The sequence below is a fragment of the Homo sapiens genome, chromosome 3, assembly GCF_000001405.40.
Source record: "Homo sapiens chromosome 3, GRCh38.p14 Primary Assembly".
NCBI classification, from domain to species: domain Eukaryota; kingdom Metazoa; phylum Chordata; class Mammalia; order Primates; family Hominidae; genus Homo; species Homo sapiens.
In genome coordinates, this window is record NC_000003.12 from 21,347,625 (window position 1) to 21,367,394 (window position 19,770).

Consider the following 19,770-nt stretch of genomic DNA (forward strand, 5'->3'; position numbering starts at 1 on the left):
AGAATGTGACTATATCATTTACTAGCTGTGTGTAGTAAAGATTGCTTGCGGCCTAACCCAAACCTGTCTTTGACTTCTTTAGAAATAGAGGCTTTTCCTTCTAAGCACCATTGTATCCATTCCTATGATACTGTGATTGACCAATAGCATGTGAGAGAGTGTTGTTGTTTGTGAAGAGTGTTGGGTCTCAGAACACGATACCCCCAAGTAAGCACCTTCGCAATTGACAAAACAGTGGAAGCAAGAAGGTCACCCTGACCTTCTTACACCTTTCTCCTCTGTAACATGATCATAAAGGAATTATTTGACTTATCTTGCCTGAAAGTAGGTCATAAGACCCTCATTCCAGGGAGATTCTGCCCTATACCAAAAAGAATCTGAACAAACTGATTGCTAAATTCCCTCCAGTTTATTACCATTAGGTCATACCCTCTTTTATTCCAATCACACTTCTGCACAACTGTCCATAAAATACACCATGAAATTTCCCTTATCTTTGGGTTTTCATTTCTTAAGGCTCCTATGTTACATAAAACTTCAGTCAAATAAATTTTTGCTTTTCTCTTATTAATCTGTTTTTTGTTATATAGGTTTCAGCCATGATCCTTGTGATGAGTGAGGAAAAGATATTACTTTTTCTCCTCTACAGGCAGCTCCGAGAAAAGGACAGTCAGATAGAAAATGGACCTTTTCTATCTTTGCCCATACTTTCTTTTCCTTCCTGCCTGAAATGTGGATGTGAGTTCCATAGCTCCAGCAGCCATATTGGATAATGAGGCAAATTTCTGGATAAATGTCAAGCACCTAGGTTCACAGAGCAGGAAGAGAAAGAGCATAAGTCCATGAAAACTTATTGGAGGCTGAGATACCTACTTCTGAATTTGTTTAAACTGTTATTAAAATTAATTTCTATTATGTTTAAGTTCACAGTCTTATAACAACAATTCCTAGATGATTAAATGAATTATCTTGGTTAGTCTCTCATTTTCTCTAAGCCTGCTTCTCTTCAGCTTTAAAATAATGCTAAATCTGTAAAAGGTTTAATCTATGTAAAACAATCTATACTAAGTAGGGGTACGCATAGCAGATATTTTCTGGGCTTGGAACCCTCTGACACAGTCTTACTGCTTCATTATAATGGGTTCTGTTTTGATGGGTCAGAATCTGCATCATACTAGAAATTGATCTGGCTTCAAATCTCATCCTAAAATATGCAATAGAAATTAGCTCCTTTTGTCTAAGCTACAGAAAATTCTTACCTACATAAACACTGAAATCATAATAGTATTGAAATAGAAGGAAAAGAAAGCCAGTAGGGATGTCTATCAGTGAGGGGCCAACTATTTGGTGCCAACCATAGTTCTTTTCCTTTTGATTTGCTAGGGTTACTGGGGAGAGGGAAGTACCAATGAGGAATATTGAGTTCATCGCCATGGCATGTTGTCATTCATGGGAGATGAGGCCATCAGAAAATTGTAAGATATACAGCATGCCACATGGAGATATGAAAAGTAGAAAAATACCGTATGAAAAAGCTGTAGTCTTGTAAACAATTAATGTCCAAATTGCTATTTGCAAACCAAATGTAGGTTTTGTACATGCTTTTGAAGTTTAATTATTATTTAATCATTTCAAGTACTCCCCAAGTATTTGTGTCTATTTTAAGCTATATCAAATGCTTTTTGGAAATAAGTGGGTATACAGTAAACATTATTTATTAAACAAGTACATTGACAAACAGATACAGAAGAATGTAGTGAAAATGTTTATAATTAGTTTTGTCCTTGCTTGGTTTTAGGATTTATTATTTAACAAAGGCTTTATTATTTAAATCTTGTCATGAAATGCAGAACATTTTCAAAATAATATTTGGAAGTTAGTTTTAGGCTTTGATATTTAACCTAATTAATACAAATAAAGAAAATGATAATTAATACATGTCAGCCCCTACATGATGTTTATGGCCCTCAGTGTGTAAATAAGGGAAATGCTTGACATTTTGAATGATGTGATAATTAAGTAGAGAAAGGAGAGCTGGCCAGATGTAAAGCTGGCCGGGCGTGGTGGCTCACGCCTGTAATCCCAGCACTTTGGGAGGCCAAGGTGGGCGGATCATGAGCTCACGAGATCGAGACCATCCTGGCTAACACGGTGAAACCGCGTCTCTACTAAAAATACAAAAAATTAGCTAGGCATGGTGGCGGGCGCCTGTAGTCCCAGCTACTCAGGAGGCTGAGGCAGGAGAATGGCGTGAAACTGGGAGGCGGAGCTTGCAGTGAGCCGAGATAGGGCCACTGCACTCCAGCCTGGGCGACAGAGTGAGACTCTGTCTCAAAAAACAAAAAAAAAGATGTAAAGCCTTTCTAAGAACACAGCTTGCCTTCAGGGCTTGCACAAACTCTGCTCAAGGCCAGAAAGGGAATACTTGAACATCTTTGTGGTCTGTATTTATATAAAGTTTAGAGTTAGTTTTGATTCTTCAAGATATTTCCTTTAATTACTCTACCATAAAGTAATTTAACAAGTGAAGAATTTTCCACTTCACAAAGAGGAAGGGAAGTATCCGACACAGTATAACAGACAAATTAGAAGAATTCTGGAGATCCAAAGGTTCTTTTTGTGCAGAAGAAAATTAAGGCCAAGAAGGGCAATAGTAATTTTTTAGAAATTTTTCTGAAACAAGAAAATGTGACAGAGGGCTTTTAGGGTCAAAGTACATGAAGGGCACCTTATAAAAATAATATAAATCAATTTCTTTTGTGTTTAAAGTAGTTTCAGTGAAATTTCTGTCATTTGCAAGTAAAGGAACATTAATTCAATTTTCAAAGCTCTCCATTTTATAAACTGATGAAAAGTAATAATGATGATATAATAAAATAATATTTAGACCAAAATTGATGTTGAGAAGGTAAGCAGATAGCCTAATACGTGTCAAAGATGAAATAAAAAATACAGCTCTTAGGGCCTTTGCTGGTGGTAGCAGTATGTGTGGGGAAGGGGGTTACAAAATAAGATCCAAACTGAATAACTGGATATGTATTTAAAAGTTTAGAAAAAAGTTTTAGGGGTAAGTTCTAGAGTAGGCTGAACTTTTCAATATATAAAAATGAGGCTTTTCATTTTTTGAGGACTTTTTGTTGGTTTGTCTCATTTGACTTCTGAAAAGGGAGAGTGAGTGACATAAGAGTGAAGGGTAGAGCAGTTTTGCAGAATATTTGAAGGATATTCAAAAACAGATTTTAAATACTCAATTTTAAATTATTTGCATTTTTCCAATATCAAGCTCTTCTACTTCCAAAACTTTCAATAAAATCTGTGATACACATGACAACCTAGAGTGAATGATATATGGATGCGTGTGTGTGAATAAAAAAGGGTCTGAATTCATGGTAAACATACACACACACACACACACACACACACACACACACAACCTGTAGCAGATACACAAAAGAAAAGAGAAAAAAACAAAGTATACCACTACAAAAATATCACCAAATCACAAAGAAAGACAGCAAGACAGGAATGAAGTACAAAACAGGAAACAACTAACAAATGGCAGTAATAAGTCCTTACGTATATAATTACTTTACATGTAAATATATTAAATTCTTCAATCAAAAGACACAAAGTGGCTGCATGAATTAAAAACAAAATCCAACTATAAGTTGCCTTTCAAGAGACTCATTTTAGCTTTAAGGACATACATAGACAAAGGGAAGGATTAAAAATTTATTCCATGCAAATGGTAAACAAAGAGCAGAAGCAGTTATATTTATATAAGATAAAATTGAATTTAATTCAAAAACTGTCAACAGTGACAAAGAAGGTCATTATATCATGATAAAGAGGTCAATTCACCAAGAGGATACAACAGTTGTAAATATATACACCCAACATCAGTACACCTAAATATATAAATCAAATATCAACAGCAATGACAACAGAAATAGCAGTATAATAATGAGAAACTTCAATATCCCACTTTCAACAATAGACAGATTATACAGACAGAAAAATTAATGAAGAAATGGTGGACTTGAATTACACTATAGACCAAAGGGACTTAAAAGACATATATACAACCCTATCATCCAACAGCAGCAGAATGCACATTCTATTCAAGCAACATATGGAATACTCTCCAATATAGATCATATGTTATGCCACAAAAAAAGTGCTAACTAATTAACAACATTGAAATCATATCAAGTATTCTTTTGAACATAGTGATATGAAACTAGAAATCAATAACATGAGGTGAACTGGAAAACTTACAAATATGTGGAAATTAGACCTTACACTTCATAAAGACCAACAGGTCAAAAGGAAATCAAAAGGGAAGTAAAAAAAAATCTTGAGACAAATGAAAATGAAAATATAGCATACCAAAACCTATGGGATGCAGGAAAGGCGGGTCTAAGAGGGAAGTTTATAGTGATAAAGGCCAACGTTAAGAAAAAATACCTCAAATAAACTACCTAACTTTACGTCTCAAAGACAAAAAATAAAAAATAAATAAAGAATTAAGCCCAAAGTCAAAGAAAATAAATAATAAAGATTAGAGTAGAAATAAATGAAATAGAGACTAGAAAAATAGTAGAAAATAGAAGTAAAACAAAAAGTTGGTTTACCAAAATGATGAAGGAAATTAACAAAAAAATTAACTAGACTAAGAAAAAAAGAGAGGACTTAAATAAAAGAAATGAAAGAGGAAACATGACAACTGATACCACAGAAATACAAAGAATAATAGACTACTATGAACAATTATAAACTAACAAATTGGATAAACTAAAAGAAATAGACAAATTCCTAGAGACGTACAAACTACCAAGACTTAATCATGAAGAAATAGTGAATCTGAATAGATCAATGAATAAGAAGACTGAATCAATAATCAGAACCTCTCAACAAACAAAATCCTAGGACTTGATGGCTTCACCATTCAGGACATAGGCATGGGCAAGGCTTCATAACTAAAACACCAAAAGCAATGGCAACAAAAGCCAAAATTGACAAGTGGGATCTAACTAAACTAAAGAGCTTCTGCACAGCATAAGAAACTATCCTCAGAGTGAACAGGCAACCTACAGAATGGGAGAACATTTTTGCAATCTATCCATCTAGCAAAGGGCTACATCCAGAATCTACAAGGAACTTAAACAAATTTACAAGAAAAAAAAAAAACAAACATCCCCATCAAAAAGTGGGCGAAAGATATGAATAGATACTTCTCAAAAGAAGACATTTATGCGGCCAACAAACGTATGAAAAAAATCTCATTATCACTGGTCATTAGAAAAAAGCAAATCAAAACTACACTGAGATACCATCTCACACCAGTTAGAATGGCCATCATTAAAAAGTAAGGAAACAACAGATGCTGGAGAGGATGTGGAGAAATAGGAACACTTTTACACTGTTGGAGAGAGTGTTAATTAGTTCAACCATTAACCATTAGTTAATTCCTCAAGGATCTAGAACCAAAAATACCATTTAACCCAGCAATCCCATTACTGGGTATATACCCAAAGGATTATAAATCATTCTACGACAAAGACACATGCACACGTATGTTTACTGCAGCAGTGTTCACAATTGTAAAGACTTGGAACCAACCCAAATGCCCATCAATGATAGACTGAATAAAGAAAATGTGGCACATATACATCATGGAATACTATGCAGCCACAAAAAAGGATGAGTTTATGTCCTTTGCAGGGACATAGATGAAGCTGGAAACCATCTTTCTCAGCAAACTAACACAGGAATGGAAAAGCAAACACCACATATTCTCTCTCATAAGTGGGAGCTGAACAATGAGAACACATGGATATAAGGGAGGAGACCACCCCTCATATCGTCTTATGCCCAATTTCTGCCTCCAAAGAAAGAAGAAGTAAAAACTAAAAGGCAGAAATGAAATCCTCAGGCAGACAGCCCGGCGTGGTGCCCTGGGCCTAGTAGTTAAACATCAACCCCTGACCTAATCGGTTATGTTATCTATAGGTTACAGACATTGTATAGAAAAGCACTGTGAAAATCCCTGTCCTGTTTTGTTCCGATCTAATTACCGGTGCATACAGCCCCCAGTCACGTACCCCCTGCTTGCTCAATCAATCACGACCCTCTCACGCGTACCCCCTTAGAGTTGTGAGCCCTTAAAAGGGACAGGAATTGCTCACTCGGGGAGCTCGGCTCTTGAGACAGGAGTCTTGCCAACGCTCCTGGCCGAATAAACCGTCACTTCCTTCTTTAACTCTGTGTCTGAGGGGTTTTGTCTGCAACTTGTCCTGCTACAGACACAGGGAGGGGAACACCACACACTGGGGCCTGTCGGTGGGTAGGGGTAAGGGGAGGGAGAGCATTAGGAGAAATACCTAATGTAGATGGCAGGTTGATGGGTACAGCAAACCACCATGGCACTTGTATACCTATGTAACAAACTTGCACATTCTACTCATGTATCCCAGAACCTAAAGTATAATAATAATTTTAAAAAGAAAACAGACCTATTAAAAGGATGATGTAACACTAAAATAATAAACAGACTTTGTAAATAATTAAATTAAAATGGCTATTGTTTTGCTCACTGGCAACACTAATACAGAAGGCCCAACTCTAAAAATGGACTGCTATTATGCAGCCACATTCCTTTTTTGGTGAAATAAAAGCTAAGAGATAAACCTGTCTCTTAACATGGGTATGCAAATTTTAAAATGCCATTGAAACCTTTAGTTCTACAGGAGGAATTGTGCTTTAGCTAAAGCAAGACAGCTTTAGGCTAGACATAAGTAAGAAATTATTTTCAGAGTGTGATTAAACACTGAATTAGGATGCTCAGAAAATATTTAAATGATTTCAAATGACATGTGGATTTGGCTATAGAAGAACTGGCTCAGTCAGTCCAAATAATGAATCCTTTCTCCCTGTGTTGGACCTAGCCTCCCTTAGAAACAGCACTTGGATTTTAAAAACTTTTCACCTATATAGATGGTTTCAGTGGGAGTGTTACTGCCCTCTAGACACGAATTCGTAATGTTTTTCATTGATATGTTCACTGGTGGCTACTAATAGGCATTTACTGGGTAGGAGACTGATATGATGGACATTCTACAATACCCGAGACTAACACTATAAAGAAATGTTTTACATTGTTCACACCTTTTGAAGAATATGTCACTAAATCACTAAGTAGGTGAAAAGCCTATTTGTATTTATCTGTAGCTACCTTCCATAATAAAACTGTATTTTCATACAGTTTTAATGTATGCTAAATGCTCCAGAAATGCCACTACTGTGTTTATAGAGTGAATTTCTTGCTTTTTTTTTTTGTAAAAAATTTTATGTAGAGTTGTTAGCTATTTCAGAAAAACACACCCCAACAGCATTGCTTGATATTTGGGCTTCAGTACACACTCCTATGTGTACTCATAGCTGTCACATTTCAAGGATGCTACAACGTGGTGGAAACATCTAGCTACCTAAACTAATGCAGTAGTGCCACAGGATTTGTATATTGAAAAATTCATTATTTTATTATAAATTACATTGCTTTTATTATAATTTTACATAATCATTTGGAATTATATTAATCTTTAATGCATACAGATATAGTTCAATAAATCTATGATTTTTAAATTTCAGATTAGTAAAGGAGCATTACAGAATCCTTGCTATCAAAAGGGGATAGTAGAGATGATAGTCTGATTAATGACAGAACCAGATTATCTGAAAGCTGTTGGTCCTAGGCACTGGAACTAGAGAGGTTTCTCATTCAATTCTAAGAGTATTGCTACTTATATGAATGGCTGAAGACTAATACTATGAAAACTGGCAGACTCAAAAGTAACCCCAAAGCAACCATTAAAGATTTTATATTAAGTCCCCTAGTATGATTTATAATTGAATGCACATTGTCTAAACACCTGCTTGGTCAAAAGGTCTGCCAGACCCAACAGGGCAGAGGGAGGGAGTGTTTTCTGAAGTCATGGACAGGGATAGCAGATTTTGTTGGGGTTATAATAGAGTAAAAATCTTTTCTGAGGATTGTGGGATAATGCCTAACGACAAAAACACAAAGGATTTTTATAATTGAAATACAAAATACTATCAGAATATCCTAGATACTTTCTATATTATGAGTCAAAACACAAAGTGTAAAAGTTCTGGTACAGTGATAAATGTGGAGTCCTCCAAAAGGAAGACAGTTACCATAAGTCAGGAGTAAATGGTGAATATATGAAGGTGTGTTGAAGTCATTGGCATTGCCCAGAATAAGGAATATTTAACCCTGTTCCTTCCCTAGCATGAGAACCTTCATCCAGTTACATCAAGGTAAGAAGAAGTATAATTACCAAGGTATATCAGAGAGAAGATGGGGCATACTCCCAAACATTGCTTCTCTTCATCCACAGCAGCAGCTCTACAATGCCAGAATTTATGTTAGGTCTTCCAAGTGAAGCCTATTATATCACTGTCTTTTATAGATTGAAAGACACTGTTCTAACTCAAAGCTACAGTTTTCATGTGTTTGTTTGTTTTGGTTGGTGGCAGGCATGGATATAAAGTTGAGACAGACCACTGGTGGCCCTCAATGATCCATGCTTCCCATACTCACCTCTTGTCCAATCCCTTCCCATACTGACTCTGGACTTGACCATGTGACTTATTTTAACCAATAGGACACAAGCAGAGGAATGATAAGCACTTACACATCATGTCTTCCTCCCAGGAAATTCTCTCTTGAAATATTCATAGTGTGAGGAAGCTCAATTTAGCCACATGGAGAGGCCAAGTAGAAAATAATGAAGGAAACTAGACAACAGCCAGAACCCAGGCCCAAGATAGGTGGTTCCAGTGATACAGTCACAGGCAGCTCCCAACTATTTGAGCTTCACAGCTGAAGCCCTGGAAAAGATGAAGAGACAATCTATCTTCAGGCCATGTGTCATTTCTTGACTCATAAAAGGATAAAAAAAAAAAACAGTATTTGGTTCAGATTACTAACCGATGTAAGATAAGTGAAACAGGAAGTCTTTATGATTCCTCAGCGAAGGGGCCAAGGCTGCTGTAGGTGTGAAAGCAAAGATGATCTGTTTCAACTCTAGTTTTTCTTAGAAATGCTGCTAAAAGTCCCCGTCCTTCATTCTGGATCGAAATTCAGAGTACCTCTGGATGCAATAAACACTATTTTCCAAAACACAATAACATAAGAGTTTTGGCATAATGTGGATTAAATTGTTTTCTATTTGTTTATTTTAAATGTCGGTGTCATGGCATTGCTACGGTGTCACTGGAAATTCTCAAAAATAGAAAATGATGTGGAAAATTGCTAGTTTGACTCTTTTCAAAAATTAAAAATGTACTAAATACAACAAGATTACATTTAGAGAGTGGGAATTCACAGTCTACAGCTCACTGCATTTGCACTTTAATATCTTTAATATTAATTTAGTGGTATATAGCTTACTGTGCAAATTGATCTTAACTTCCATGTACCACAAGACAGTTAGAAATCTACAACTATTTGAATCTTTTAAATTCTCAAATTTAGCTCTACATCCCATTGACTGTCTTATTGCCTTTAGTGGAACATGAGGGCCATGGTATTTTATTTCCTCCATCAAGTATCTATTTGAGTGAAAATTACACACCAATTGCATAAGATTTGGAAGTTCTCCATTAATGCCAGAAAGGCCACCCCCAACCCTCCAGCCTGGCCATGCTCACATCAGCCCTGACTCCATTCTGATTGAATAACTGTTTTCATAAAAGTGTATGTAAGCACTCAGTGGAGCATAAATGAGTAGTTGTGTGGAAAATATTGCTTCACCCTGCTACCAGCTTGAAAGGACATGCTGTCTCTAAGTGTACACCATTTGGTAAACACGTGATGGGACTTCCAAAGGCTCAGAAACCACCAAGGTAGAAGGTAGCCCAACAGCAAAATTTCAGCTGTTTTCTTCCTTGTCTGTTCTAATATGAGACATGGAACAACCTACGAAACTTCCCCAAGTCCCAGTTTACTGAGAAGTAGACTGTGATCTCTATATTGTATGGTTGTTGAAAGATAAAATTAGAAGATACAATTATATGCAGATGTGTTATGATTTGTTATGAGCTTTTAGTGGGGAAAAGAGGAAGCTATTTGGTAATAAATATGTGCAAATCGAAGATAGTATTTTTAAAAACATTGTTTTTGCAGTATTTAAAGTTTGAGTCAAAGAAAAGTTTACACTGACCTCAAAATTGGCAATTTTTTAAAATTAAATTTTTTATTAATAGTAGATATTTAATAGATTCCCACTTACTTTAACAACAAAAAGTTTTAATTACATTTAAAGTTGTTTCTTTTTTTATAATGAAATTAATTTCCAAGATAAACTAAAATGTCTTAGTTTTTAGATGGCTTAGTTCTTAGATGGCTACATCTCTAAGGAGTATACTTAAGCAGCTAAATGATTTTTGCTTTAAAATATCATACAATGCTTTTGCAGAATTAATTTAAAAGGGCATTTTTTTCTGTTTTATTTTCATCTGTGTACTAGTTGTATAAACTTACTTACCTAATACTTCAACTATGACCTAATCCAATAGGAGGTTATCATACTTTAAATATTATTTCTGGGATTCTGTAGAAAAGGAAAATGTAGATTGAAAAATGTAGCCATATTTGCAGACTAGAAAGGGGAATCTTAAATGGGAAGCTAGAAACCATCACAGCATTGCAGTTTCAAAAAATATCCAGGGCAATATTAGAAGAAAGAGGTATGAGACTGTGTTTGCAGGAGGAAATTGAAGGGACATGTGGGTAACGAACTGAAGAACTTCCATGCTGATGTCAACTTAATTTCATTAATTTTGTTTTGCTATTACATAACAGTTTTACTTCACTCCTCCCAAATCTACTGTCTTGTATTATTTCTGTTTTTCTTTGTGGCTGTGCATAACTTCATACAGCATGAACTTTCGATACAATTTCCATATGCTACGAAGTTCCATATGCTATGAAGTTCCATATGCTAAGAAGATTGTAAAGGCCTTCAAATCTCCCAAAGAGTCAAGGATAAATTCCAAAAGTAAATTCTATGGAGCAACGGAAAATAAATTGGACTAAATCCCAGAAGTCATGGGTTCTTTCTTACTCCTACAAGGTGCATTTGTGCAAGCTACTTAACCTTTCTTAGCCTCTATTCCTGTGGAAGAGGAAAATAAGTAAGAGATCTTAATTTTCATCTCTGAACGCCAAACACATTGCCACTATGCAATAAGTGTCCATATGTTGGTATCTTTGTTTTTTATACTCTGTATGGTAGTATGCTAGGGCTGAAGGTTTCCTTTTAGAATGTAATTTTGTAAATGCATCTTTAGATTCATACAGTAAAGAGTCACAAGGATAGCTAATAAGATGAAATGGGTATGATAGCAAATATATAAATATTATCTATTCAGTATGAAAGTGTGTCATTGTGTTTTAGTCTGAAATATCATTTCATGTGGAGAATTCCTTACTGTCAACCAGTTCCTTGTTTCGTTTATAGTGAATGATATTCACTTGTATCAGATGGCACCAACTATGCTCAGTAATAAGCCAAGTTTTAATATTGAATTAAGTGCAGGTTGTGCCTGTATGACAACTTTTTTCTGCAAGGCTGACTATTGTAAGTCATATGAAAGCAGACATAAATGTGTCAAGCACTCTGTGCCTGGCACTTTGCTAAGAAATTTACATATATTATCTCACTTAATCATCACAAAATCCTCCGGTGAAGTAGACATTTCACAGTTCAGTCCTTTATAAGCATTATCACATTAAATCCTTACAACAAATTTCAAACATGGATACTATTATCCCTTCTCTAGAAATTAAAAAACACACATAAATGTTAAAAAAAAAGTTGAATCGGTTGAACAAGTTCCCTTAGGTAGTAAGCATAGGAGAACAAATTCAAACTCAGGTCTTTTAGACTTTACTACTATACCATATGGCATAGTTTTTGCAGAAAGAAGAATGCAGACATTTTAGAATAGATAGTAAACTCAAGTGCCACAGTAAAAGTATTTGGCAAATTTAAAGGAGAAATCCCCTACTAGCATCTCCATGAATCAATCAGCATTCATCCAGTTCAGTCAACTTTTGTCCTTGCCTTGTGAGATTTTACACCATATAAACACTATCAAAATATTACACAGAGGAAAGAAACTTGTGGAGACAAAGAAAGAAGGAGAAGGAGGTTAAGGAGAAGCAGGTTAAGGAAAAGGAGGAATGTGAAAGAAAAAGGAGAAAAAAGAGAAAAAAAGGAATAAATCATTTCTAAATGATAATATGGCAGGAATACAGAATGGTGACTATAGTATATGAAACCAGTACAAGGAAAACTAAATTATATTCTTACTAGAGAAGGTCAAACATGCATATAATTGAAATTTTTAAAAAAGATAATAAAAATGGTGGGTCATAATTAATAGTTAAATAATTTAAAGTTTACATTTAAATTTACATACTAAACTCTGTTTACAAAATGAATAGTAATAGAAGGAAACAGACTGCATTTATACAAAACAACTCTAAGAAAAAACAAAATCCGAAACAAAATATCTTAGGTAATAAAAGATTTTCTCTCAAAATCAATCACAAAATATAAGAAACACATAATATTGTATTAGTTTCTATAGTTTCTGTAATAAATTACCCCAAAGTTGGTGGCTCAAAGCTACATAAATACATCATCTTACAGTTCCAGAAATCAATTTCACTGAGTTAATTTCAAGGGTTGGTACCAGGAGTGTTGGTTCCTTCTGAGGATCTAGGGGAGAATTCATACCCCACCTTTTCTAGCTTCTGGAGGCATGCATTCCCTGGCTTGTGACCCTCCCCTCTCATCATTCTCTACTCTTGCTTTCAGTGTTACATCACTTACCTCCTCTTGTTCAGTCTAATCTTCTCTGCTTCTACTTTATATGATTACTTGTGATTACAATTAGAATCTACCCAGATAATCCAGGATAATCTTCCCATGTAAAGATCCTTAATCACATCCACACAGCCAGATAAGGTAACATTCTCAAGTTCCAGGGATTAGGACATGAATAACTTTGAGGACCATTATTACCATGATTTAGACTACTGTAATCACTCTCTAAACTTTAAATATCCTAACACACAGCTGTGGGATATGTAAAAATATAATGAATCTATTATTTAAAACTCAAGCACAGAAATGGACAAAAACAGAAACCAATAAAATATGATGATTTAATTTAAAAAGATATAGAAGCAGAAAATATAAAATCATATCTAAAATGAAAATTATAAAGTACCTAAGGGAGAATATATATATATATATGAAAATTAAATAAGAAATATTTCAAACAGACAAGATAATGAAAATGAATGAAATAAAGAGTAAAAGAAGTCAAAGAGAAAGTAGTTGAAATTGAAAACAAAGGAAAAGATGTACCATGATATATTGTGAAAAAGAAAAATGAAAATACTGGAACAGAACCAATATGTAAAAGAGATCCAAGAAACATTTCTAGATGATAATAGAACTGAAAGGGTCCACAAAGTGACTGGAATAACTTACTGGCAATAATCAAGTCTTTGATGCATTACAGTAAAATTATTAGAATTCAAAGATAAAGAAAATGTCTTCAGTGGCTCCAAGCAAAAAGATAAAACAAATAACTTACAAGGATAAGACAATTACACTACATCAAACTCTTAAAAAACAACATCTATATAAATCAACAATGATGCAACATTTTCTAAAAATAATAATAATAAAAACGTATGAACAAAAGATTTTCTATTAAGTATCAAAGCTATTGGAAAACAATTTTAAATCTTCCAGAACTTAGACAATACTATACACATGTATATTTTCTGAGCAATCTATTACAGGTTGAGCTTTATCCAACCAAGAGATGGCTGGGAAAACTTTGGCAAACAGACTGATGATACTTGTTTCATATATTTAATTATAGAACTGAGTCCAAAACAAAAGGTGCAAGAATAATATGTTTGCATGATGTGGTTTGGTTATGTTCCTATCCAAATCTCACCTTGAATTCCCATGTGTTGTGGGAGGGGCCCAGTGGGAGATAATTGAATCACAGAGGCAAGTCTTTCTCATGCTGTTATTGTGATAGTGAATAAGTCTCACAAGATCTGATGGTTTTAAAAAGAGGACTTCCCCTGCACAAATTCTTTCTCTGCCTGCTGCCATCCATGTAGGAAGTGACTTGCTCTTCCTTAACTGCCATGATTGTGAGGCTTCCGGAGCCACTTGGAACTGTAAGTCCAATTAAACCTCTTCCTTTTGTAAATTGCCCAGTCTTAGGTATGTCTTTATCAGCAGCATGAAAATGAACTAATACAATGCATTATATGTTGTTATAAAATAAAAAAGATGCAACTAAAAATTAGGAGTATATGAGAGAGATAAAAAGTAGAATCAGTCATAGACTGTTTTGTAAAGAGACTAGTTAAGACTAGCCAACCAGATAGTAACAGGTCAGCAAGAACTATGAGAAGAGAAGATTAAGAGCACTATAAAAGTTATAGATGTAAAGATAATCTCTACAGCAAACAAACCCCAAATCTTTATAAATACCAAAAGGAGCTTTTTAAAGCAAGGAAGACACACAAAATACCAAAAGAAACACAGTAAATATGATGTAATATGTAGATGAGATCAAACATATCAGTCACCGAAAATGTTTATATATCTAATTCATCATTTAATGGAAACACATTTTCAAGCTGGTTCATAAAGCAAAAGCAACCTCTATGTGCATACAAAACACATTCCTAAAATATAATGATTCAAGGAGGCTGAAAACAGAGATAAAAGCAAAACAAAAGAAAACAAAACAAAAGCAGCTATTACAATCTTGATAAACAAAGTCAAATCCTAGACCAAAAGAAAAAAAAGATGGCACAATAATGCCTTTTTGTAAGACAAATAAGACACAACAATGCTAACAGCACATGCTTGGAAGAAAAACAGCTTTGAGTTCTACTTCTCCCTAAAACTTTGAGAGGTTAGGTAAGTTCACTATCCTGAACCTCAATTTCTTCACATTTGAAATGGTAGTAATACATTTACCACAGAGAGTACTTTCCTTTTGTGGTAAATACAATCCATATTCAAATAATGGGAAATAATTCCTGTTACCAACCAGATATTTTAATACTGAGTGGATTTACATGCTCTTTAGTAGTTTCTATGTCCAGAATATTTTTAGGTGGTCTGTAGATTCTTTTTGAAGTATATAATTTAAAATTAAAAACATTCTGGCTCTTCTGAATGTCCATGCTGACTGAACCATATTTTGGCTGTGACTTTCCAAAGGAAGTGTATTAGTCCATTTTCACGCTACAGATAAAGACATACCTGAGACTGGGCAATTTACAAAAGAAAGAGGTATAATTGGACTTACATTTCCACGTGGTTGGGGAAGTTTCACAATCATGGCAGAAGGCAAGGAAGAGAAAGTCCTGTCTTACATGGATGGCAGCAGGCAAAAAGAAGAGGGACAAGCGAAATGGGTTTCTGCTTATCAAACCATCAGATCTCGTGAGACTTATGCACCAGCCGGAGAACCGTATAGGAGAAACCGCCCCCATGATTCAATCGTCTTGCTCTGTGTCCCTCCCACAACACATGGGAATTATGGGAGTACAATTCAAGATGAGATTTGGGTGGTGATGCAGCCAAACCATATCAGAAAGCATCCTTTAGTCTCTTGTGATAAACATACATAGAAATAACTGACAAGAGTTTATACAGATTTTAGCAAAACCCTTTGCTTTTGCCTCCTTTGGAATCAAAGCAAGTTTACTGAATTGTGCTATGTACCAACTACATATGGCTCTGTTTCTTGTATGTTATTCGTTTTGATTCCACAAACTTTTATTGAGGGACTATTGTGCTGGCACTAAGGGCTGCCGGTTGCAGATATATACAACGTAGAGTCACAATACTCAGTGACCTCACAAGGTAGCCTGATATCCTCATTTCCTTATTCTAAGGAGTTTGTATGCTTCCACCCTATGGATTCTGGAAATGATTACTTGTTCACAAATCGGGCTGAAGAACCTCTAAACATTCATATGTGGTGGCAGTTGAAGCTTGGGCACCCAGCCAATAGGACTCTCCAGTGTAGATCCATAAAGGAACCTCCCCTTGACTTTCACAGGTTGGATTGGGTGTCCATAGATGAGTTGACAAAATCAGAGCTTTCACTCTCTGCAGCCACATAGGCAAGAAATTTCTCATTAGGGCACTAAAAGAAGGGAATAAGAAGAGAGGAAGGAAAAAAGTAAGGGATGGAGAGAGGAATACAAGAAGAAGGAAGGGAAGAAAAAGAAGATAAAGTGAACATGCACCTTGTATATATTTATAGATCTTCAAATGCCACATATTTTGGCCTTTGAATATCACTAAGATGTACCTGTATTTGACTTCAGCTTTTGCATTATGTATTTGTGTAAAATACATTTAACCAGGAGGAGCCTTTGAAATTCTTACTACTATTCCATGTGGGAAAATTATAAAGCTGTTCCTGCTCATACGAACTCAGGGAGAGTTGTCTGAGATCCTCAACAACTTAATTATTTAATCTGAACCTAACCATGATATGTCCCTCTTCTCTTTCCTGTCACCTGATTGATTGGCATGAAATTATACCACAGTTATTATATTTTATTAAATCTGTGTTAGTGTTCCCATTTTGTTGCACCATTATTGATTTTAAATGCATTACATATGATCAGTTTAATCCCAGCTATATTATATCTAATGGTTTGCCACCTACAGAATTTCCAGGTACACATTTGGTTTACAGAATAAACACAGAATTCTGGGCCTCAGCCCTAACTGAAAATTGCAAATATTTACTAGAATGGTAGAAACTGAAAGGACTGACATCCAAAGATGTGAGCTGTTTTTGTTTTGTAAGACTTGAATATTTTAAGACAACTTTTAGCAAATAGTTTATTTGATGCTACCCATCCCCCGAGTGAAGAATTTGTTTATGTAAAAACACAGCAAAGTCTATTAAAAATATAGACATTGTGGGGTTTTTTTGCTTTAAGGCCTACAATTAGATAACATAAAAATGTAATTTAACTGTTCTGTAAGTATGAGTTTTAACAATCCATCTTTGACTTTGTCTATGGACTGACTTCCATGCCTTACATCAAGATAGTACAGATGTGGGGGAGGAGCCAAGACGGCCGAAGAGGAACAGCCCCAGTCTACTGCTCCCAGAGTGAGTGACGCAGAAAACAGGTGACTTCTGCATTTCCAACTGAGGTACCAGGTTCATCTCACTGGGGAGTGTCGGACAGTGGGTGCAGGACAGTGGATGCAGTGCACTGAGCGTGAGCTGAAGCAGGGTGAGGCATTGCCTCACCCAGGAAGTGCAAGGGGTCAGGGAATTCCCTTTCCTAGTCAAAGAAAGGGGTGACAGATGGCACCTGGAAAATCGGGTCATTCCCACCCAAATACTGCACTTTTCCAATGGTCTTAGCAAATGACACACCAGGAGATTATATCCCACGCCTGGCTCAGAGGGTCCTACGCCCATGGAGCCTCACTCATTGCTAGCACAGTAGTCTGAGATCAAACTGCAAGGTGGCAGCAAGGCTGGGGGAGGGGCGCCCACCATTGCCAAGGCTCAAGTAGGTAAACAAAGCGGCCAGGAAGCTCGAACTGGGTGGACCCCACCACAGCTCAAGGAGGCCTGCCTGCCTCTGTAGACTCCACCTCTGGGGGCAGGGCATAGCCAAACAAAAGGCAGCAGAAACTTCTGCAGACTTCAATGTCCCTGTCTGACAGATTTGAAGAGAGTAGTGGTTCTCCCAGCACATAGCTGGAGATCTGAGAATGGACAGACTGCCTCCTCAAGTGGGTCCCTGACCCCCGAGTAGTCTAACTGGGAGGCACCCCCCAATAGGGGCAGACTGACGCCTCACACGGCCGGGTACTCCTCTGAGACAAAACTTCCAGAGGAACGATCAGGCAGCAACATTTGCTGCTCACCAATATCCACTGTTCTGCAGCCTCCACTGCTGATACCCAGGCACACAGGGCCTGGAGTGGACCTCCAGCAAACACCAACAAACCTGCAGCTGAGGGTCCTGACTGTTAGAAGGAAAACTAACAAAAAGAAAGGACATCCACACCAAAACCCCATCTGTATGTCACCATCATCAAAGACCAAAGGTAGATAAAACCACAAATATGGGGAAAAAACAGAGCAGAAAAACAGGAAACTCTAAAAATCAGAGCACCTCTCCTCCTCCAAAGGAACGCAGCTCCTCACCAGCAATGGAACAAAGTTGGACGGAGAATGACTTTGATGAGTTGAGAGAAGAAGGCTTCAGATGATCAAACTACTCCGAGCTAAAGGAGGAAGTTCGAACCTATGGCAAAGAAGTTAAAAACCTTGAAAAAAAATTAGATGAATGGCTAACTAGAGTAATCAATGCAGAGAAGTCCTTAAAGGACCTCATGGAGCTGAAAACCACAGCATGAGAACTACGTGATGAATGCACAAGCCTCAGTAGCCGATTCGATCAACTGGAAGAAAGGGTATCAGTGATGGAAGATCAAATGAATGAAATGAAGTGAGAAGATAAGTTTAGAGAAAAAAGAATAAAAAGAAACGAACAAAGCCTCCAAGACATATGGGACTATGTGAAAAGACCAAATCTACATCTGATTGGTGTACCTGAAAGTGACAGGGAGAATGGAACCAAGTTGGAAAACACTCTGCAGGATATTATCCAGGAGAACTTCCCCAATCTAGCAAGGCAGGCCAACATTCAAATTCAGGAAATACAGAGAACGCCACAAAGATACTCCTCGAGAAGAGCAACTCCAAGACACATAATTGTCAGATTCACCAAAGTTGAAATGAAGGAAAAAATGTTAAGGGCAGCCAGAGAGAAAGGTCAGGTTACCCACAAAGGGAAGCCCATCAGACTAATAGTAGATCTCTTGGCAGAAACTCTACAAGCCAGAAGAGAGTGGGGGCCAATATTCAACATTCTTAAAGGAAAGAATTTTCAACCTAGAATTTCCTAACCAGCCAAACTAAGCTTCATAAGTGAAGGAGAAATAAAATACTTTACAGACAAGCAAATGCTGAGAGATTTTTGTCACCACCAGGCCTGCCCTAAAAGAGCTCCTGAAGGAAGCACTAAACATGGAAAGGAACAACTGGTACCAGCCACTGCAAAAACATGCCAAATTGTAAAGACCATCGAGACTAGGAAGAAACTGCATCAACTAATGAGCAAAATAACCAGCTAACATCATAATGACAGGATCAAATTCACACATAACAATATTAACTTTAAATGTAAATAGGCTAAATTCTCCAATTAAAAGACACAGACTGGCAAATTGGATAAAGAGACAAGACCCATCAGTGTGCTGTATTCAGGAGACCCATCTCACATGCAGAGACACACATAGGCTCAAAATAAAGGGATGGAGGAAGATCTACCAAGCAAATGGAAGACAAAAAAGGCAGGGGTTGCAATCCTAGTCTCTGATAAAACAGACTTTAACCAACAAAGATCAAAAGAGACAAAGAAGGCCATTACATAATGAAAAAGGGATTAATTCAACAAGAAGACCTAACTATCCTCACGAGCATTCTTATACATCAATAAGAGACAAACAGCCAAATCATGAGTGAAATCCCATTCACAATTGCTTCAAAGAGAATAAAATACCTAAGAATCCA